This window comes from Homo sapiens, chromosome 12, assembly GCF_000001405.40.
Source record: "Homo sapiens chromosome 12, GRCh38.p14 Primary Assembly".
In the NCBI taxonomy this organism is placed as follows: domain Eukaryota; kingdom Metazoa; phylum Chordata; class Mammalia; order Primates; family Hominidae; genus Homo; species Homo sapiens.
Window position 1 is genome coordinate 130,558,883 of NC_000012.12, and position 23,316 is coordinate 130,582,198.

The 23,316-nt window shown below is 48.1% G+C and overlaps 1 protein-coding gene across 35 annotated transcripts in view, besides 3 other annotated features; it reads right to left on the reverse strand.

Annotated features, from left to right (window-relative positions):
• RIMBP2 (RIMS binding protein 2) overlaps positions 1-23,316 on the reverse strand; it is a 320,167-nt gene that overhangs the window by 162,750 nt on the left and 134,101 nt on the right. The window contains exon 3 of one of the 35 annotated variants that reach the window (NM_001393624.1): positions 4,373-4,463. The exons of the other annotated variants lie outside the window; for them this stretch is intronic. The gene's annotated coding sequence lies outside the window, so the exon portion shown is untranslated. The remainder of the gene's footprint in view (positions 1-4,372; positions 4,464-23,316) is intronic. 35 annotated transcript variants of the gene reach the window in all.
• Positions 3,946-5,145: an enhancer, noted in NCBI's record as "CDK7 strongly-dependent group 2 enhancer chr12:131047373-131048572 (GRCh37/hg19 assembly coordinates)". NCBI's record gives its function as "activates an origin of replication core promoter dependent on BRD2, BRD4, P300/CBP, MED14 and CDK7 cofactors, with strong dependence on CDK7, by STARR-seq in HCT116 cells {active_cell/tissue: HCT116}" and the evidence as "EXISTENCE:reporter gene assay evidence [ECO:0000049][PMID:35650434]".
• Positions 4,143-4,312: an enhancer, noted in NCBI's record as "experimental_25896 CRE fragment used in MPRA reporter constructs". NCBI's record gives its function as "activates a minimal promoter by MPRAs in K562 erythroleukemia cells, with activity observed for both the introgressed and non-introgressed 12:131047655 variant alleles {active_cell/tissue: K562}" and the evidence as "EXISTENCE:reporter gene assay evidence [ECO:0000049][PMID:34662402]".
• Positions 18,057-18,226: an enhancer, noted in NCBI's record as "experimental_25901 CRE fragment used in MPRA reporter constructs". NCBI's record gives its function as "activates a minimal promoter by MPRAs in K562 erythroleukemia cells, with activity observed for both the introgressed and non-introgressed 12:131061569 variant alleles {active_cell/tissue: K562}" and the evidence as "EXISTENCE:reporter gene assay evidence [ECO:0000049][PMID:34662402]".

Consider the following 23,316-nt stretch of genomic DNA (forward strand, 5'->3'; position numbering starts at 1 on the left):
CAAGTAATTTATTGACTTGGTCATGAAATTGAAATTGTCAAGTAGGTTAGAAACTCACATTCTCCCTCTTTTTTAAAAGCTTATTAGTCTATATTTTCATAATCTCAACTTCTGATGATTTTATCTTCTCTTATGCCAATACCTTGTTTTTTAGATTTTATTTTTAATAGACAATAAGTGTATGTATTTATGGGGTACAATGTGATGTTCTGATATATGTTTATGTTATGGAATAATTAAATCCTACTTATTAATGTGTCAATCTCCTTATTTCTCTGTGGTGAGAAGATTTGAAATCGACTCTCCTGGTGATTTTCAAATATACAAAACATTGCTATTACCTATAGGCACCATGTTGCACAGGCAGTTCTCTTAGAATTTATTCCACCTAATAGATATTTTGTATCCTTCCAACAACAGCTCCCCACCCCCTACCCCATGCCCTGGCCCCAACCTCTGGTAACCATCATTCTCCTCTCTGCCCCCGTGAGTTCGACTTTTTTGGATTTCGCCTATGAGTAGATCACGTGCCGTTTGTCTTTCAATGCCTGGCTTATTTCACTTAGCATAGTGTCTCCCAGGTTTATCCAGGTAAGGGCAGATGACAGGCTTTCCTTCTTTTCATGGCTGAATAGTACTCCGCTGTGTATATACACCACATTTCTTTATCCTTATATCCGCTGAGGGACACTTAGGTTGATCCTACACCTTGGCGATGGGGAACCTCATGCTCTCTTAAAAAACACGATTCCCATTTGTTAAGGGTGGGCTGGGACTGCGTGCAGGGCACTGACAGGCGTACCTAATTCACATTAGTTCTTTAACTCCCTGGAGCTCCGTGAGACCACATGCTGTAGAGACTAAGGGTGCTGGCTTGGAAGCCACACCATGACTGTGTCAACCTGGGAGCTAGCAGGTATTTAGATCCCAGATCTAGCACTTTGTAACCAGATGACCTCGAGCAAGCTACTTGACTGCTCAAGGCCTCCGAATTTTCTTCCATAAAATGAACAACGGTAACACCTGCCTCGAAGGGTTGTTTAGGACATGCTCTGCACCCATGAGGCATTTGCTCTTATAACTCACTCTGCCCCCAGTTTACAGAGAGGGAAACTGAGAATGGGAGCAGGGGGTGATTTGCTTAAGGGCAGACAGCTGGTCAGCGGCAGAGCTGCCACTCAATCACAACACACGGCCAAAGTCCAGGGTTTGTTTAATCTGAGATCTGGGAATGACAACTCTCCCAGACGGAGGCAAAAATGTGTTCTAAAGGCAAAGTATTATTGCAGGTAGAATTTCTATTTCCCCCACCATATTCAGGTAATGTGGTAAAAGACTTCCTAAGTTCCCATTCCAGGCTATCATTCTTATTAAACCTGCTTAACTTCATCTCCCTTTTAATTTCACTGCAGATTTAATTTGGGGGGAGGGCAGAGTCGGGGGTCTCGGTTCCAGGGTTTCTCAACCTCAGCCCGGTGGTCATCTTGGTCTGGAAGATTCTTTGCTGTGGGGCTGTCTTGTGCAGGGCAGGACGTTTAGCCACACCCCTGGCCTCCACCCACTGGATGCCACTAGACCCCCCACCGGTAGTGACCACCCAAAATGTCTCCAGACATTGTTCTCTGGGAGGCAGTATGTGCTCTGCTCCCACTCCCATCCGCTTTGAGATCCCCAGTCTAATCTACCATAAACCATGGGTTACGCTTTCCCCATAACACAGCAACGCTGACTCCTCGCGTGGCCAAGCTGCGCCTTTCCATGGCCCCATGTTCATGAGTCAGGAGAGCAGCTCCTCAATCGCATGTGTCTTAACCAAATGGAACTCTACTTTCAAAGTAACGTTCAACAGGCATAGATCAACCTGTTAGACTCTACCCAAAATATCTCATCGTGGCCTCCCTCCCTATGCCCAAGAGCCCATGTCGAAATTTTCTTGCAATCCAGTATTAAGGGCTGAGTTGTGCCCTCACATCCAAATTCATCTGTTAAAGGTCTAAAACCCCCAGAACCTCAGAACATGATGTTCTTTGGGACTAGAGTCATTGCAGATGTAGTAAGTCAGGGGAAGGCCATGCTGGAGCAGGGTGGGCCCCTGACTTAATATGACTACAGTCCTTACAAAAGAGGGAAATGTGAGCACACAGAGACAGATACAAAGAGAACGCCATGGGAAGATAAAAGCAGAGATCAGGGTGATGCTTCTGCACGCCAAGGAGCCCCAAAGATGGCCACCAAATCACCAGAAGACAGGAGAGAGGCCAGAACAGGGGCTCCCTCACACCCCTTAGAAAAAGCCAACCCTGCCAACACCTTGATCTCGGATTTCCAGCCTCCAGAACTGGGAGAGAATAAGTGTCTGTCGTTTCAGCCATGTGGTCTGTGGTCCTTTGTCATGGCAGCACTAGCAAATGAATACACAGAGACACTTATTTTCCCAAAGTCCAACATATTTTATGTCTTCATTCATTTTCCTGATGTCTCAAACCAGGGGTTGAGGCAACATATTTAGGGAAGCTAGGCCCAGGTCAGTGTGGTTAAAAGAGGAGCGTCAGATAGTTCTTTGGGAACCTGACTGATACGAGCAAGGTACCCCAAACCCAATTTCCACCTTCTTCTTAATTGCAGGAGTTTGTAAGCCTCTTTCTCCTTGATTCAGAGAACCCTGGGTAGAGGGACGGGTCCTTCTTGCGTAATCCGGTGTGATTTTTCTGGTGAATCACATACAGAATACGGATATGTTTAACTCCCAACTGGCCATTAAACACATGTGGTCATTTGCGGTAGCTCTGAAAGGCATCTCAACTCCCATTTTTAAATTAAGGGATGAACATTCACTAAACATGATAAAAGGGGGTTTCTGAACGCAGAGGCAGCCATCCTAGCAAGGATGGCTTTAGTTTTCAAACTCTCCTTTAATTTTAACCCACACAACTCTTTTGCTGCACAAATCTGTTAAACAGATTTTAGAATGAGATCTTTTCATTCTCCAGAGTTTGGGAAGAGTCTTAAATTTATCTGAATTTATCTTTTATTAATAATTTATTCTGATGGTTATAGTAATATATGTTCACTGTCAAAAAATGTTAAAATATAGAAAAGTGCAGAAAAAATGACGGGAAAACTATCAAACTCTGCAAAAATGACATTACCTTTGATCTGTGAAATAAAGCATAAAATCAGACACACAAGGAGGGGAGATATATCATCAATTTTTAAAGTTTAAGTTTTAAAATATATATCCATCACTCTTTTAGTGCATTCTTTTTCTAATACTTAGCAAATGAAACATTTGTGTGTAATCTAAAATTGGATTTTATTAACTTACTTCAAAGCCACCCTCCATGAAACTTAGAATACTTTATTCACAAGGAACAATAGTTCCATAAAATTCTTAATAGAGTGGAGTTTTATCTGCTAGAAATAGAAAAAGCAATTTAAGCTAGCTTAATTGAAATGGAAAATTATGACTTTACCTAACTGGAAGTCCTGGCATAGATCAGCCTTCAGGAATGACTTGATCCAGGGACCCTACCTGGCAAGTGCCTGGCTTCTACTCTTTTCTGTATATCAAACTTGCTGTCAGGCTGAAGTGACATGGGTTCAGCAGGACCAGTCACCTTTGCTTGACAGCAACCAAGGGAAGGAAGTACAGGAGTACTTCTGGAAGCTCACATAGAAGAAAGAAAAATCTTTTCTAGTAGCCATCTATGAGCCTCTCCTCTTCTCTCATTGGCCAGAGTTGGATCACATCCCCTATCCAGGACCAACCCCTCATAAAGGCTGGGGTTCTAAGGCCAAAGGAGCTTAGCCTTGGCTACAAGGGTGGGGCCTTGGAAAAGGAGTGGAAACCTGAAAAAACAACAGCAGCTGGAGTTCTGTTTGGCAGGAATAAATGAAAAATGGATGTCAGCAAGCAACCAAGTGCCTTCTCAATTCTGTAAGAGTGGTCTGTATCTGACAGCTCATCAGAATTCCACTGGGCACATTCAAGAGTGAAGGGAATTTGAAAGGCAGGGGAAAATCACTGAGCTGGGAGTAACTCACTGTGCATTTAATAAAATCTAAGCAGAAATCTCTGACAGCGTAGCTTGGTATGACGGACGGCTGGCTGTGGACAGCTTTTGACTTTACTGATCTCATCTATCTTTCTAACTGAGGACTAAACCAGAAGCTAAAAACGCATTCACGCTGCATAAAATGTATCTGCTAAAACACTGTTATCCTGAGTTTGGTTCTAAATCTCAGAGGGCTTTTCAAAAAGCATCTTAAAATCTTAAGTGCAAGTGACACACAAGGACCCACCCTGTCAATTTCATATTCCCATCGCCCCTTAGACCACTCTACATTTTTCTTCCACAAATAAATGAATTACCAGACACTTGAAACGCGTTCTTACGCCCTGCCAAGCCTCTTCCTCAACAAGACACCTGGTGGCATCTCCAGCTGGAAGTCCAGTGATTAACCTGAGCATGAGAAGGCTAAATTGGTTCAAATACCAAATGGAAGAATAGATCAAAGGATTGCCTGAAAGTCAATGGGGTTGAATTTCTAGATCAAAGGTTAATAGCAAAAGGTTTAGGATTCTTCTACAATTATTAAGCTGTTCAAAGGAATGGCCCAGTCAGACTTCATAGGGAATCAAGTATGAAAACGGTGACTCATCATTGAGACTATACTGGGAGCTTTCATTTCTAATGCTAACATCCTTTGAAGGGATAAACAAATATGCCCTACTGCAGCAGGGCTTTATTTAAGTGCAATTATTTTTTCAGTGATGCTTATTTAAATCTTGAGCCGGGTTGGCCATTTCAAGCCAGTAGTCAAGTCATCCCAAATGTACATTGACTAGAAGTGGGTTCACAGGTACTCTCATCTCTTCTCTGTGTTACTGTAATAACCTCACCCTCTCCACCAACCCAGCAGCTAGAGCGATCCTTTTGAAATGTAAGTCAGCTTGCATCATTCTTCCATCTAAAATCCTGCAGTGGTTTTCCGTTTCAATTATATACAAAAGCCAAAAACCTTCCTACACCTGCTGGGCTCTACATAACCTGGCTTCCCAGCCTCCTCTGCTGCTACATTTTCCCCTCGCTCACTCCATCTCTACCACACCAGCCTCCCTGCTGTTCCTATACAAGTCAGGCAGTCCCAGTCCCAGGGCCCTTGCACCTCTCTCTGTCCCCTCTTCCTCTTCTCCCAGGTGCCCACGTGGCTAACTCCCCCACCCTTCAGGCCTGCTGTTCCTATACAAGTCAGGCAGTCCCAGTCCCAGGGCCCTTGCACCTCTCTCTGTGCCCTCTTCCTCTTCTCCCAGGTGCCCACGTGGCTAACTCCCCCACCCTTCAGGTCTTTGGCCATATTTCATCCGACGCCACCCTGACCACCTTTTACAACTTCTCAGATGTCCCCTTCCTCCTTATTTTATTTCCCCAGTCTTTTCAGCACTGTGTTTTTTTCCCAAAGCATTTCTCATTTAGATGCGCCAAATCTTTTACTTTTTTCTAACATTTTAAAAATTGGGGTGAGATTTACATAACATACAATTAACTATTTTAGAGTTAACATTTCGCCAGCAACAATGGTATAACAAATGGCCAAAAAGCCCATGAAAGGGCATTCAGCATTCTTAGCCATCAGGGAGATGCAAAGGAAATAGGGTATATACATACAATGGAATATTATTCAGCCTGAAAAAAGGAAGGGAATTCTACCACTTGCAACAGCGTGGATAGACCTCAAAGACATTACGCTAAGTGAAATAAGCCAGTTGCAGAAGGACAAATACTGTAACACTCCTTTTATATAAGGCCTCTAAACAGTGGCAGTTAACAGGGGATGTAAGAGGGGGATGTGGGGAGTTGTGGTTCAATGGGGTTCAAGTTCACTGATATACAAGATGCATTAGTTCCAGAGATCTGCTTTGCAACCCTGAGCCTACAGTTAATAAGGTACTCTGCACTTAAATTGTGTTAAGAGGGTAGACTCAATTTAAGTGTTCTTACCACACACACACAGAACAACAAGGAAACCCAAGAAAACTTTTGGAGGTGAAGAGTGTGTTTATTACCTTGATCACAGTGATAACATGAATGTGTACATATGTCCAAACTCAAACTGTATAAATTAATTATGTACAGTTTTTGGTATCCAATTATACCACCATAAAGCAGCAGGGGGAAGGAAATGTAAGTCAAAACCACAATGAAATATTACTTCCTGCCCTTTATGATGCCTATAATTTTATTTTTATTTATTTTTTTGAGAACTCTGTCACCCAGGCTAGAGTGCATGGTGTGATCATGGCTCACTGCAGCCTTGACCTCCCAAGTTCAGATGCCTATTATTTAAAATAATTTTTTTAAAAAATGGAAAGTTACAAATGTTGTCAAGGATGTGGAGAAATTGGAACTCAACCCTTGCTGGTAGGGATGTAAAATGGGAAACAGGGTATGGAGGATTTTAAACACAGAGTCAGCTATGACCCAGCACTTCCACTCTCAAACTAGGTATCATATCATTGTCAGCTGTCTCTCCCCAATGGATCATGAGTTCCATGCATCAATGATGTTGTTTCATTTGATGCTGGATCCTAGCACCTACGGTAGTGCCTGGAAAAGAGGTGGGCTCAAACTATGTGTCAATTAAGTGGATACACATGTGGTTGCTTCCTTATTCTCAGAAAAGAACTAAGCCATTCCCCATTTTATCACTATTTCTAGGATAACCATGAGCTCCCTTAACTCCGAGATTCCTGCTAGTATCCCAACTACAAAGCCCACTCCTTGTCCCCTCTTTTTAAAATTATTTTGTAGCTCAGTAACATGTTTGGGGTCTTTCTTTGTAGATCTTTTTATTTATTACCATCACATTTGTTCACACAGCAGCACAAAGGGTGATATGAAAAACACTGTTAACGAAATAAATAGAAAGCAGTGATTTCAGGGCTGTTGCCACACAGCATCCCAATTTTGCTGGAGATGGAAGAGGGAAGAGCCAATTTATTGCCATATTCCATTGTCTTTAAAATAATATTGTTTCTACTCCCAAAAATGAATGGTGAGAATGTGAAAACCTGTATCAGAGATGATGCATTTTCTTCCTAGCAGGCTTGTCAAGTATCAGTTCCTAACGAGAACTATGCGATGGAACTTGTCATTGATAAAGAGGGTCAAATCTGTAATCTGCCTGCCCAAGGTCAAAGGCTGTAATCTGCCAGCCCATAGGCTGAATTCATTTTGCTCAGTCTGCATAGTGTTTAACTTTTTAAATTTGTTGCCAATTTATACACACATGCACACACACACACACACACACACACTCACTCAACAGTCCTAGCTTCTAAAACATAGCAGGTGTTTGGGCAATTCTGGGCCCCACTTCCTGTAAGGCAATAATAGAGAAAGTGGAGCTGCTATTGCCCCTCTAGACAAGAGGTGCAAGGTGGCTTGAAAAATATGTCCACAAATTACCTGATGCTCTATCTTTAAGGAGGCGGAGATTAACTTGATTATGGGCTAAACTTAGTGGCTCACTTCTAACAGAATAGAGAAGCTGTGATACGTCGCTTCTGAGGTTAGGTTATAAAAGACACAGTGGTCCCTCTCTCATGAGTTGTTCTAGAAGCAGCAAGCTACCATTTTATGAACAGCCTATGGAGAGGTCCATGAGCTGAGGGTCAAAGCCTCCAGCCAATGACCAGCAAGGAGCTGAACCTGCCAGCAACCGCACCAGACAAGTTGGAAGTGATCCATCACCAGCTTCAGCTGAGCCTCCGGACTCTGCAGCCCCAGCCGACAGCTTGACTGCACATCTCGTGAGAAGCTGAAGCCAGACCAGGCAGCCAGGCTGCTTCTAGGATCCTGACCCTCAGAAATGGTGAGATAACCAGAGTTTGTTCTTTTAAAATTGCTAAGTTTGGGGATAATTTGTTACACAGCACTTGATAACTGATACAACACAATAACTAAGCAATACCATGCTGCTCAATGTCTCCTAGGGCTGCATTAAGGGATTATCACTCCAGCCTTCATGTTTTTCAGCTCCCTTTAATGGGCAGAGGGCAGCTGTGCCTACAGCTTCGATGGTTAGGGTGGGCTTAAATGCACAGGAAAGAGGGGAGTAGGAAATGCTTTCAAAGGCAGAGTCAGAAGAAAGGCATAGCGAAGATGAAAGAGGTGAAGGAAGTTGGTATAAAAAGCTCTGACCAGACCAAACTCAGGGAAAGTCAAATACAAAATACAGCCAGGGAAAATTAAAATTCTTTATAAGCAAGGAAGCTTTTGAGATGTCCAGATGGGTGAAATCTTTATAAGTATTCACATAATCATCATCTATGGATTCAGAAGAAGCAACCGTGGATTAAAGACACAGAACATGTTTGCAGGCCCCAGGTTTCCGCATGGTCTGGCAGCTGGCGTATGCACCACAAGAAGGCAGAGTCCCTTGTCCCACCACAAACTGATTACTAGAAAGGCTGATGCTTATTAGTTTGCATATGTTCTGAAAAATGCGAGTTCATGACATCACCATGTTAGGATTGCGCTCATGTGCACTCTGATGTACTTTCCAGCCTGGAGCGTGTCTTGCCTCCTCTGGAACCCACCCTTCTATCCCCCACTCTGCCTGAAGGGACACTAGAGGGAGACAGAACGGGGGAGAGGGAGGAGGGAGGGTCCCTGAGGGTCTTTGTCCAGTTGCCCCCCACATAACTGGGCATCGGCACGTCCCTGGGAAGGGGCAGCAGGTTCCTACTTGCCATTTTCCCACATTTGCAGGCTCAGCATCACATATCCCCCTGGGCATAGCAGCCACAGCGGCCAACACCCCTTTCAGGGGTCTGGGTCCCCTCCACCCTGCCTCTAAGTCTTAATCATCCCACCTCTTCCCCCTGGTCCTCCAGCCTTGCAGGGGGAGCCACTCGGCATCGCCTTTCTAGGTCTCTATTACCTAGCCTGCAGTTCTTCATAGGGAATTCTCTCTGTGGAAATAATTAGCATGGGCTCTGTCTCCTGACTCTGCCTCACCTGATACACCTGTGCCTTTCAGTGCACCTTGGCCTGTCTTACCTATGCCTTGGAGCCATCCCACGAACATCACCTGCCATGCACCAATTAAAAAAAAAGGCCCGTGGTCCCAGGACCATTATATATGATGTTTCCTCCAAAAGATAGCCTGCTGATTGGAAATCTAACATCAGGTGTCCCTCCATTCCAGATTAGTTAAGGTTCTCTCCATTGTCAGCAACAGAAACGGCCTTTGGCAGTCTTAAGGTAGGATGTAAATTTATAGAAGAAGGCAGGGTTTCTCATAACTTCTAAAGCAAAGCTCAACCAACCAACCTTGCAAGAGGGGAGACCCAGGATATCTCAGGGGACTCAGCACGGGGGTGTGGGGGTTTGAGAACTTTCTCTTCTGTGGCTGTTTCTCATGTGCTTCAGCTCCCCAGACAACTAACTCCTCTGCCTCCTGTGCAAGCATTAAGTTCCCAGGAATCCAGATCTAACAGTCTGGCTGGATCAGTGGTAACCCTAAGTCAGCTCCTATGCATGGACAGAGTTCTCTGGTATCCACACAGGCCCTGGGGCCAGTCCCAGAGAGCCGTGAGCAGACATTCAGCCTTTTGATCCTGACTTCTAATTTCGGGTTGACAATGACGTGCTCCCCTCTGGGAAACCCAGAAGCAATGGAGAGACAAGCTCTGCCGCTCAGGAGACTCCAGTGGCAATGAAAGTCTCTGCCAGATGAACAGCCCCTTTGCCAACTTGATCTGTGCGCTTCTTCCCAAGTGCTCAGAGCTAAATGCTTTGCTTTGAGACATCTGTTGAAAACACTTCCAGGTCCCCAATCCCACAGTCATGTTTCTTACGTAAATGATTTGATACACGCTATTTCACAAACTCTTTTTTTCCAGCCAGCTCCTGTGAGGTGGGCAGAATTATTTGAGTGCCAAGAGGGCATCTGCTGAGTAGGAAAGCTATTTCTGGATCCCAGGGCATTATCCAATGGAAAAAAACCCGAATTCCTAGAGTTGATTTCTAAAATGCCACGTGCCCTCCTCACACAGCCATTGTAACTATTGGAGCTGTGTGTTAGTGACAGGGCACCTATCTGACATCTACTGCCTTGGAGACCCCCCACCGAGAAGCTGGAGCAGACAGGACATCCTCATGTATTTTATGACTGTCTTCAGTTCCGTGTATAAAACCTTATTCTCATAGGATCACATGAAGCAGACTGGGAACACCTACTAGACAGTCCACACACTGCTAGTCCAGGACATGTCAGCTCCCTGGGCCCTGGGACAGCCTCATCCGGCTCTAAGTGAACCGTGTCACCACATGAACAGCATGACCTCGGTCACGACCTGAACGGCAGGCATCGGACTCATGAAGAAACATCAGGAGGCAGCTTCCAGAGAAGAGAAAGCCTTGTTAGCTTAAAGAGCAAAGCGTCCCCCTCCAGCCATCTCACTAACAGAATCCCAGGCTCCTTCTTCTCACGCCCAGTTCTTCTCCAAAAACTCACCGCACTCCAGTGACCCTTGAGAAAGCTGGGGCTGAGCCACGCAACCTAAAACCAGCTGTCCCCAACTGGAACAAATACCTGTCTACATAAACTGACATGCGCTATGGTTTGGATCTGCGTCCCCACCACATCTCATGTTGAATTGCAAGCCCCAGGGTTGCAGGTGCAGCCTGGTGGGAAGTGATTGGATCATGGTTTATACCATAGCCTTGGAGCTATTCTCCTGATAGTGGGTTCTCACGAGATCTGGCCATTTAAAAGCGTGCAGCCCCTCCCTCTTCTCTCTCGCTCCTGCACTCACTGTGCAAGACGCCTGTTCCCTCTTCACCTTCCGCCATGACTGAGCGTTTCCTGAGGCCTCCCCAGCCATGCTTCCTGTACACCCTGCAGAACCATGAGCCCATTAAACCTGTTTTCTTTATAAACTACCCAGTCTCAGGTATTTCTTTACAGTAATACGTATATGGCCTGATACAACATGACACGGCCAATTATTTGCATTTAAAAGGCATCTACTTAATGGTTTATATAAATAATGAACTCATTGGAAACCTACCTTACTCTGCACACACTCATTTCACACACACCTTTATGAGGAAGGAATGCCATCATGTTTGTATGAAAATCACACACCTTGATTATTTCCGAAATACCAAAGCACAGCCCGGATCTGCTTGACAGGAAGATCCACTCTCTTTCCTCTCTCTCTGTGATGTATTAAAACCTGGAATTTTAGGCCAGGTATAGTGACTCACACCTGTAATCCTAGCACTTTAGGATGCCAAGGCAGGAGGATGACTTGAGCCTAGGAGTTTGAGATGAGCCTGCGCAACATGGTAAAGGCCCGTCTCTATAAAAAACACAAAAAAATTAGCCGGGTATGGTGGCTTGCACCCGAAGGCCCAGCTAGTTGGGAGGCTGAGGTGGGAGGATAGATTGAGCCCAGGAGGCGGAGGTTGCAGTGAGCTGAGATCACACCACTGCACTCCAGCCTGGGCAACAGAGCTAGACTCTGTCTCAAAAAAAGAGACCAAACAAAAACCCTGAAATTTTAAGCTCTTTACGGGAACAAACTTCAGAAAGGAGGAAAACACTGATATGTCAACACCTGAGGAACAGCATAAAACAGGAGCAACAGAAGGTGACAGGTAAGAGGTGAGGACAGACCTTGGCTAGACTGCCTGCGCGACACCTGCTCTGTGTGGCTGTGGACGAGTCGTCTAGACTGCCTGCTCTCTGCACTGTGGAGGAGTCGTCTAGTCTGCCTGCTCCCCACCCTCTGTGGAGCAGTGACTCTAGCAGTTCCCACCACACACAGTCATATAGGACTCTGACCCAATGAGAACAGTGTTAAGCGCAACATCAGTTCCTTCTTATGCACTTTCATGAACATGATGATGACTGGGAATAATCAACAAGGTCACAGAATAAAAATAACTGCAGCAATTAGAGTGGGCAGGTGCTTTTCTTTAAGCAGGTGGATAAAGGAGAAATTAACTCCACAAGTGCTTACTGAAGGCCTGCTACGCATTGGGGGATGTCGCTGGTGCCAGGAACACAAAGATGGGGAAGAAACAGGCAAAGGCCCTGCCCTCATGGAGCTTAGAACTGAATTTATGGCAGGAACTGAGAAAAAAATGTCACGAGAAAAAACGTGCTGCGGTCATTGTTTTGGCACTTGAGGGAAGGGGCTAATCCATGGCGGGAAGAGGGCTGAGTTCCGGAAGGAGGAGGAAAGAGAGATATAGGCTTTACTGGGTCTGCATCATAAAGGGAGAAAGACTGGGGGGTTACTAGAGATGGGGGGGAGAGAAGTAGCTCAGCCAGGGGAGGGGAAGTGGGAGGCCATGACAGAAAACAGCCATGCATGGGTCCCCGCAAGGGGAACCACCCTGGCAGGTCTAGGAACTGCAACTCCCTGACACTAGATGTTTAGTGGTTTTTGACCACGTGTTCGCTGCCACACACAAGACTCAGCTGCCGTGTGTGCTACTGCTACCCATAGTAACATTTTTTTTTTTTTTTTTTTTGGAGACAGAGTCTCACTTTTTTGCCCAGGCTGGAGTGCAATGGCACAATCTCGGCTCACTGCAACCTCCGCCTCCCAGGTTCAAGCGATTCTCCTGCCTTAGCCTCCCGGGTAGCTGGAATTACAGGCGCCCGCCACCATGCCCAGCTAATTTTTATATTTTTAATAGAGACGGGGTTTTACCATGTTGGCCAGGCTGATCTCGAACTCCACAGTAACCTCTTAATGCTCAGACAGTTGGCACCACCTGCATACTCAAGACCCTCCTGTGCCGTCCCACCCCACTTGGGACAAAACGGGAACCTCACTGTGGCCTCCAAGGCTGTTTGTATCTGGCCCCCATGGCCTCTCAGACCTGCCATCTGCTGTGTCCCCTTCACTCACTCTGCTGCCCCACACTGGCCTCCCTGTGGCCCCCTCACACACCCAGGGAGCCCACCTCGGGGCTGTACATGCTGCCCCTTCCCACCTGGACACCCCTAGAGCCCCCTCCACCCTGAGCACCGTCCCTGGCTGCACTCAGATGGTCGGCCTGTCCCGGCGCCCTCGGTCACCTCTACCCCTTCGCTGCTCCTGCACAGCTGCATCCATGCCAGCCTTAGCCATTGGTGTATCTACTGTTTGTCTCCCAGCTAGCAGGTGCTCTGAGAGCAGACTCACTTCAGTTCCCTGCTCCACCCCCAGTGCGTGAAACAGCATGGCCAGGAGTTATGAGGAAGGCCGGGGATGAAGGAAACTTAGCACGGGTGACAGGGACAAAGCGGCCGGAAAACCCACAGACGTGTTAGGAGGAGGGGCCTCCCACTGCACGCACCACGGAGGTCCCAGCTACTTGGACACATCAGCAAAAGATGCCTTTGAAGACCCAGGCGCTCCTGAGTCCCAAATGCACTCACAGTAACCCCAAACATGGAATCACCCCCGCAACCAGCAGTCACAAAAAACCCATTGATTTTCCTTCTTCCCGGCTCGCATGAGCATCAGGTATAGAAGGGACCTTCCTTGGACACTCGGCTCCCTGGGCCTGACGGTGGACTCATCCTTTACAAGGCGGCTGGAGACGACCTGATTCTTCCATCCCTTTCCCCTGTGTGCAGGTTTTACTGGGCTGCGTGAACTTGCTGGATGATTCTAGAAAGCTGACAGGGGCAGGGATGTGACACCGATTTCCACAGCATGATGTGCTGTTATAGAAAGCACTGCTACAAAACAGACACAAGAGATGCAAACAGAAGAAGGCAGCTTATGCTCATTCGAGTTAATTAATCCAGAGGCTGTGCAGGGACTCACAGGGTTTCTCGGTGGAGAAGGGGCACTGCTCTGGGGAACGCTGGCACACAGCCAGCGCGTGTGCAGCAGGACGACCTGTATGCACTGTCACCACGGGACGGGGCCAGAGGGATGCACCCACCAACTCAGGGGACAGGTGGAGCGAGGCAGGAGCCAGGGTAGGAGCAGGGTCAGGAGGGCTGTGGGAGCTGTGAGGAGGGACCCAGATTCCGCCACAGGGCATCCTTCCCCCCGGGGGGACAGAGCTGTCCACGGCAGCTGCGAGTGACGAAGCCTTCTTCCCACAGCCACTGCTGGCTGCAGCCAAGCAGATCCAGTTCAAGTGCCCAGCGCCTGCCCCAAAACGTGGTCAGACCACAAAGCAGACATGGCAGCCTTTGAGAAATCAGTGAAGCAACACTGCAGGCCCCCTATAGCAATGGCTTCATCCCAAAAAAAGGTATATATGTATTTATTCTATGTATCTATACTTATTCTATATTTATTGCATACTTCATGTATATTATATTTTTATATTTATATATTGTAAATAACAAAGTAAAAGACTCGGAGCATAGAGACGATGATTGCAAAAATAACTGTTGGATTGCAGTAGGATCAGAGGTCAATATTTTTAAATGTTCTTTACTGTTAGTATGATACTTTTAAAGACAGATAAGTGTTCGCGCGTGTGTGTGCGACTGTGTGCGTGTGAGTGTGTGCGTGGGTGTGTGCGTGGGTGCGTGCGTGGGTGCATGTGGGTGTGCAAGTGTGAGGTGCGTGTGCTTACTGGAGATATAGACGTGATCAGAAAGTGAGCTGCATAAATGTATTAGCGATTCTCTGAGCTGGGTCTAATTAGACATTGGTGATGGGTCTGAACAGTCTTTGAAGTTCAGAGATGTGACTCTAGGACAGGGCAGGGTGGGCTGACCCCCACCTGGGGGGGTGATGGCTGTGTCTGGTCCTCAGTGACAGGGGTAGCCAAGGACATGGGTGCAGGAGTGGGGCAGGAGGGTGCAAGTGGAGAAACGCAGGAAGCCAAGTCAGCATGACACAGCCGAGCTGCCAAACTTTGGGATGTGGGTCATTTTGAAAGCGCTCTAGGCTGATCCAGGCCTGGAGCATGGCTGTCCACACAGAAATCCCATCCCCAGCAAGTTCCCCCAACATGCTCCCCTCCAGCTCACTTTCCAGCCTCCACCCACATCCCTGCAGGCACACATGGAATTCAGAAGTGAAGAAGGGAAAGAGTTGCCAATTCTGACGGGAAGGAAAATGGCAAGCAGAGAACTAAGCAGCTGGGTCTGTCTCCTAGAGTGGGTTTTCACATCGAGGGATTATCACCACGCTAAGGGATGGCACGCGGGGAGGTCAAGCTTACTTTCCCCCCTTCAGAGGGATTTAGAGTGAAACATAACTAGCAAACAAGGAAATCTAAATGAGAAAAAATTATCAAACAGATCAAAATAAAACCTTGTCATAAACACTATTTTGTTTCTGGCTGGAGCTAAATAAATGCAAGATGCAGCATTTTGAGAAACAGCAGCAGCTGTCCTGTTGGGGGGGTGGCGGTGGGCGGTGACATCCACAACCCCCATGTTCATCACCGAGGGGGACACCACACACATGGCGAGCTACCTCCTTCCCTAGGAACTCAGCCTCAAGGAGCTCCTATTCTCCAGTCAGCCTAAGAAAACCCCCCACAACAGAGTCAAATTCTCATCTCATTCTATTGCCAATGACATGAGAGAATTCTGGGGCAAGTTATTTCCTTTTAAAGAAGTCTGTGGTTGCCATCATTTTATCTTTTACATAAAAGCTCCCAGTGTGTGTGAGAGACATGGAGATGCATCGCTGAACCTGGTAGGCCGCAGGCAGCTTCCCCTTTCTGGTCTGAGGTCTCACAAGCTCCAGCCATCTGCAGCACATCAAAGTTCAAACGGCTGGGAGCACAGGAAGACTGAACAGTGGTCCCTGGCTTTTCTCAAGGACTCCAGAGAGGGCATCGGAAGCCCTGAGCAGCCCCACCGCCCACCCCAGGGCTCACAACCCCTCTGCCACCACCTCCTTGTGCTCTAGGCACTGTGGCCGTCACCCACTGCTTGCCAAGCCTGGTTCCCTCTGTCCACTCACAGGGAAGACAACTTCCTAGACCCCTTCATTAGCTAGGCCCATGCGGCCAGGTCTCACCCATGCGTTGTGAGCAGAAGACCTGAGTGCTGATGCCCTGTGCCAAGTCCTCCAGAATCACACCCCCCACCGCCACCCCCACCCCCAGACGCCCTGTGCCAAGTCCTCCAGAATCACACCCCCCACCCCCACCCCCAGACGCCCTGTGCCAAGTCCTCCAGAATCACATCCCCCAACCCCACCCCCAGACGCCCTGTGCCAAGTCCTCCAGAATCACACCCCCCACCCCCACCCCCAGACGCCCTGTGCCAAGTCCTCCAGAATCACACCCCCCAACCCCACCCCCAGATGCCCTGTGCCAAGTCCTCCAGAATCACACCCCCCACCCCCACCCCCGGCAGTAGCCTACAATGCTCACAGTACTAGAGTTGCTGGGGTCCCTGAGGAACAACAGTGAACAGAAGTTCCCACCAACCCAATGGACATGCCGCAGAGGCAAGAAACACACTTGAGAGGTTGGGGGCTGTTTGCTGCTATGGTGTGAGTTAAACTCTCCAGGCAGATATAGGAATAGAATTCTTCCCCTCCAACCCTTTTAAGCAATATTCATGTGACATTTCCATCAAAGTAAAGCCAAGTCCCCATCAGTGAACACATCTCTTTCTACTTTCACCAACGTTACAGTGTATGCATTCACCTATAATAACTACGTGACCCATTCCTGCCTGCAACTGTCGGGCCCTGTTCTAGGCACTGGGGATCCAAATGTGCATGAAACACACAAAGCTTTGTTCTCCTCGTCGTGCAGCGTGCTACCTAGCACATAGATGCAACATGCTAAGTAGTGATAAGCACTGTAAACACAAAGCACCATGAAGGGGATGGAGGATGAAGGAGACAGAGTGGTCAGCAGAGGCTGCTCAGATGTGGCTGCCCTGGAGCCGCTCACATGGGCTCACAGGAAGATCTCCTCCTAAGTCGTGTCTGTTGAAGTCATCTGGTAACTTGAAAATAATCGTGGTGGAAATATTTACACTGTGGGAATGGGCAAACTGCACAGCAAAATGTTCTGGGCTTTTTCTTTACTTCCCCGGAAAGCTGGTTAACAGGACACCCCCGGATATTTGAATTCAGAGCAGAGGAGAATGAGGGAGTGAGCTGGGTGGCTCTTTGCAGTGAGGAGGAGCATGGTGGACAGAACAACTGCCAGTGTGGAGACATCACAGTGGGAACTGTGTACTCTGCAGGGAGGCTGGTGCGGGGGGACCGTTAGGCAAAGGGGCTGCGGACAGGTGAGGGGGAGGAGGGGGCTGCAGATCGTACCTTGTAGGCCACGGTAGGAACCTTGCTTTGTATCCTGAGCATGAGAAGACGTCTTTTTTACCTTTCTGTATCTTTTAATGTGTAACCAAAACCACAGGCCCAAAGCAAAAACTACAAACAGGAACGGAGAGTTTCATGACCATAGACATGGGCATTTGCTTCCAAGAGCAATGGCCCTGCATGCTTTGAGAATCGCTGTGAGCTGTGCTTCTAGATCCTCAGCAGGTTGGCGCATGACCCTCAGAGCCCTAAACACACTACCCGTGGGCAGCTGGCAGGTGGCCAGCTGCATGCCGGCATCCAAGCTGTGCGGGCTAAGTATCTCCTCCCGCGGGAAGCAGATGGCCCCTGCATGTGCACTTGCTCATACCCAGAACCAAAGCAATCACCCAGGAAAGAGAATCAAGCCAGACTATTCAGTCCTCCCAGCCAAGTGGCTGGTAAACCCGAGCCTCCCTGGGTCTGGAAAATGGAGAGATGAGGATGAAGCACGAGCTGGCAGGACAGGGAGGACGGCAGGGAGTCCTTAGCACAAACTGCCAGCAGCAGCGAGGAGGAGCCCCGCCGAGCGCCGAGAGGCATATGTGCGCACCACATGCCACAAACACAAGCTCCGAGTCCTAAACGAATCACACCAGGATGGAGATTGCAGGATGGCGTGTTTCCATCGCGTGTCCAGGCGCAGTGCCTGGGAGCAAATATCTCCATGTAGAAAGAGACCGACAGTGTGGCAGGAGTCGCGGGGTGGAACAGGAACTTCTGGACAGAGATGGGGACAAAGAGAAGCGAAGGGGATGGCCCAGACCTTCACAGAGGAGACAAAATGTCCCGGCTGCAGCCTGAGGTTTGCAAGGTCACCATGGGCTGCGTTGAAGGATTTCTCCTTTCTTGTCTGGTAGAATGACTCACCCCTTTCTCCACTAAGCGCTGTTACTCTGAGCATACACCAGAGGCTCAGGTTCAAATCCAGTCCCCTCTATTCACTGTGTGACCTTGTACATGTGCCTCAAGCTCTCTGCACCTGTCTTCTCATCTGTAAAACAGGGATGGTAACGGTGCCTGACTTACAGGGCAGCTATGGTGACAGATTTGATTAGAACCATATGTGGCTCACTGGGTGGAAAATGGTGCCTAATAAACGCTAGCTATAATTATAACTGCCACTGTATTCATCCCTTCTCACACTGCTTTAAAGATATTACCTGAGACTGGGTAATTTTTAAAGAAAGGAGGTTTAAGGGACTCACAGTTCCACATGGCTGGGGAGGCCTCAGGAAACTTACAGTCACAGCAGGTCAAGGGGAAGCAAAGCACATGTTACAAGGCAGCAGGAGAGAGCACAAGCATGCAGAGGAAACCGCCATGTTTGAAACCACCAGAGCTCATGAGAACTCCCTCACTATCGCGAGAACAGCATGGGGGAAACTGCCCCATAATCCAGTCGCCTCCCACCAGGTCCCTCCCTTGACTCGTGGGGATTACAATTCAAGATGAGATTTAGGCAGGGACACAAAGCTAAACTATATCAGCCACGTTATTGCTATTATTATCATCATTATATTGTTATTGTCAATATTATAATTAAAAATGCCTTTATGGTGCAATAAACGGGAAGCTGACATCCCTCCATCTCATTTGAAATTCAATCCCTCCCCACCCGCCAACCCTCAGAGCTAATGTGAAACATCTCTTTAAACAATGGTAATTATGCGAAACAATAGCTATATAGTAACGTAACCTTTGTGGTATACAGGTAACTATATGCCGATTAGCTTGATAGTGGTAATCATTTCACAATGTCTACATCATCAAACACCCTGCCATACATCTTATATAGCTACGGTTTTTACTTGTCAATTATACCTCAACAAAGCTGGGGAAAAAAATATCTTCTCTGAAAGGCAGATGTGAACTGGATGGTTTCACATTAAGCCATTATCACCCAGTAGCACACTGTGGCAAATTATTCACAGGATTCAGAGATTCCAGGAAAGTAAAGGTAGTGCAGGCTTGGAAGCTGATGAGGAGGCATGGGTCAGGGCCTGAGCTGGGGCAGAAGCTCAGAGGATTCCATCCATCCACTTCTGAACCTTCCTGTTCTCTGCCTCTACTGGCCTCTGGTCTACCCAATGCCTTCTGCCCCGTTTCCAGAATCATCTTTCTCAAGCATCATTCTGGATGGCTGCTGCTCTGCCCTAGAATCCAACATGGCTCCCAGCTGCCAGCAGTACAAAGTGCAAACCTGCCTGACATCCAAGACCTTCTGCAGCTTTGCCCCTGCCTCACCTGTCCAACCTCGCCTTGACCTGACTCTCCAGCTGCATCTTCAGCCATGCACAGACCTGTTCTCCTGGCCCCAGTCGTACATGCCTGTGTTCTGTTTCTCGATCATAGCAAACTTGCTCCAGCCTTGGGGCCTGTGCACTGTGGGCCCCTCTGCCTGAACAGGCTTCCCTTGGATCTTCACGTTAGCTCATTCCTTGACATTCAGCTCTCAGCGCAAATGCCCCCTTCTCAGAGACTTCCCCTCGCTACCCAACGACCGAGTCCCTCACCCTGCCCCGTCTCCACACTTGGCTTGTGCCTTCCACTGCACGCTCCACTATCTGAAGTCGCAGGTCCTCATCTGGAGCCCTAGGGCTGAACATGTGCAGAGATTCAGAAAGGCTTGGATTTATAAGATGTGCACCAAACATAACTAATGCTCCCAGTGGTGTCTGACACCGTCTTTCATTATTAAATATATTCATAGTTCTGCGGTGAAATATGTAAATACAAATCAAGTGGGATTAAAAAAAGATGAGAAGTTGTCTCACATCCATTGGTTCAGATTTCAAGGACAAATCAGTTATTTCTCAGGATCTTTTGGTTTTCAGGGCCTTTTGAATATCAGAGTTGTGAGGAAGGGGTGGGGCATCGTAGCCTGTTGCTTCAGTTGTTTGTTCTTGGTCTGGTGCAGAAAAGAGCTCACACGGCACGTCTGAGCCCCGCTTTTGAGGAAGGGCTGATTGCAAGCCCGGCTGGTTGTGCGATCTTGGATCAGGAGGGCTTATCCCATTCCCTGGCTAATAAGAGGGTTCACAGTGGCTGGCCTTTTCTAGAAACAATGTGGTTTGGACTAGGTGTCTGCTTTCCTTATGAGAGCCTGGAATTTTGGTACATGCTGGGCAGAGGGTGCCGACGTGACCAGTCCTCAGTAAAAACCCTGGGCCCTGACTCTCTGATGAGCTTCCCTGGTAGATGACGTTTCACACCTATTGTCACAACTCGTTAGGCACGTCCTGTGTGACCCCACTGGGAGCGGCTCTTGGGAGCGTGTGTCTGGTTGCCTCTGGACCTGGCCCCATGCTCTTCTTCCCTTTGCTGGTTTTGCTGGTTTGCTTGAATACTTTTGCCAGAGTAAAACCCTCATAGCTGTGAGTATGACTGTGGGCTGAGTCCTGTGAGTCCTGAGAGAATCAGCAAACCTGGAGGTGGTCTTAGGGACCCCCAGCACACTCCCCCATTGAGCACAAGCTCATTGAGTAAAAGCACCTTATCTGTCCTGTGTACTAAGGCCTCACACTCGTGCCCGGTCAATAAATACTAGATGAGTGGACCCAGCAATGGTCGTGTTCACCATCAGACCAGAAGCGATGGTGAAGGGTCCAACAGTTCCCTGGCCACAATATAGGAACCAGAGCTCGAGGGAGGCAAGGGAGGCAAAACCATCACTTAATAAAGACCAGATCAGTATGGCTCACAGCCTGGGGCCAAATTCAAAATAAGTAATATTCAGTCTGGGAAGGCGAGGCAGGCGATCACCTGAGGTCAGGAGTTCAAGACCAGCCTGGCCAACATGGTAAAACACTGTCTCTACCAAAAATACAAAAAAAAAAAAAAAAAAAATTAGCCGGGCATGGTGGCAGGTGCCTGTAATCCCAGCTACTTGGGAGGCTGAGGCAGGAGAATCACTTGAACCCGGGAGACAGAGGTTGCAGTGAACCAAGATCACACCACTGCCTTCCAGCCTGGGTGACAGAGCAAGACTCCATTTAAAAAAAAAAAAAAAAGTAATATTGACCCCATATGGTTTGGCTGTGTCCCCACCCAAATCTCACCTTGAATTGTAACAATCCCCACATGTCAAGGGCGGGGCCAGGTGGAGATGATTGAATCATGGGGGTGGTTTCCCCCATGCTGTTCTCATGGTGGTGAATAAGTCTCATGAGGTCTCATGGTTTTATGAAAGGGCAGTTCCCCTGCACAAGTGCTCTTGGCTGCCGCCACGTAAGATGTGTCTTCCCTCCCCTTCACTTTCCACCATGATTGTGAGGCCTCCACAGCCATGTGGAACTGTGAGTCCATTAAACCTCTTTCCTTTGTAAGTTACTCAGTCCCAGGTATGTCTTTATTAGCAGCGTGAGAACAGACTAATACATCGGCTTTATTTGAAAATTTGATATTTTGTTCATCAGGGACTGCACATTAATTTTGATATTTTAAATACTGCATTAAGACCAGGTGCAGTGGCTCATGCCTGTAATCTCAACACTTTGAGAGGCTGGGGCAGGCAGATCACTTGGGGTCAGAAGTTTGAGACCAGCCTGGCCAACATGGTGAAACCCCATCTCTACTAAAAATACAAAAATTAGCTGGGCGTGGTGGTGGGCACCTGTAATCCCAGCTACTTGGGAGGCTGAGGCAGGAGAATCGCTTGAACCCTGGGGGCGGAGGTTGCAGTGAGCCGAGAAACAGCCCGGGAGACAGAGTGAGACCCAGCAATGGTGTGTGTGTGTGTGTGTGTGTTTGTTTGTGTGTGTGTGTGTATGTATATATAGATATATATTAAAATATCTCCTATCTTGGCTCCAGCTTTTTTCAGTGCCACCCACACACTGTGCACTGAGGCAGGGGCCTCGTGGCCGCACCCTCATCCTGCCCTTCACCTGCTCATATTCATGGGCCAGGCACTGGGGGTGATGGTTTCCAAGACAGGCAGGTCCTGGACAGAGCAGTGTGTTTGTCACATACAAAAGAGACTAGCTCAAGGGTGGCAGCCTCTGGGTCATCAACTGAAATGCCCCGTGGTCCCAGGTCACACAGGGGTGTGCCGGGAGTCAGGTTCAAACACAACAGGGTGGGGGGCGTGGATCTGGTGAGCTGAAGCCCACACAGGGGCCCCATCTGCTCCAGCAATGGTTTCCAACCTTACTCTCAGATCACTGCTGTCTTAAGAGTTGATTTTACATAAACTCCAAAAGTTCCATCTCCATCCCAGCTCCCTCCTCCAAGGTCCATGCTCACCCCCACTGCCCACCCAGCCTGTCCCAGTGGAGGTCTCAGAGGCATCATAAGAGCATCCAGAATGAAGCCGAGCTCCTGGCCTTCCTGCCAGTCTCCCCACCCCACAGCCCTCCCGTGCCAGTAGGTGGCAATTCCAGGCTCTCGCGGCTCAGGCCTCAGACCTGTCGCCTTCCTTCCTCTGTTCTCTTTGTCCTGTGGACTCTGACTTCAGGACATACCCGGAACGTAAGTACTTTCTCCACAGCTACTGCTATAAGCCTGGCCTGAGTCATCACCATTCCTCGCCGGGTTATGAGAATGGCCTCTCAATGGGTTTCTCCTGGTCTGTTCTTACTCCCCATTAGTAAGCTGTCAACATGGTGGCCAGAAGTCACAACACCAAAAAATAAGCCACACACTATTATTTTGCATATCACCTTTTAATGACTTCCCATCTCAGAGTTAAACCAAAGGCCCGAAAGGCTCTGCATGACCTGGCCTCTCCTCCCTCCCTGGCTCAGTCACTCTCACTTCACCACCACCACCACCACCGACCTCAGGACCTTTGCACCTGCTGCTCCCTCTGCCTGGCACTCTCTTCCGTGAATACCCACGTGGCTCACTTCCTCACCCACGTAAGGTCTTTCAGAGAAGCTTTCCCTAAACATCCAACTAAAATTACAAACCCCTCCACCTCCCTCCCTCCTCCTCTGCTGTCTCCATAGCACTCCCTACCTTTGAATACAGCAGATGCCTTTACTCATTTATTTTGC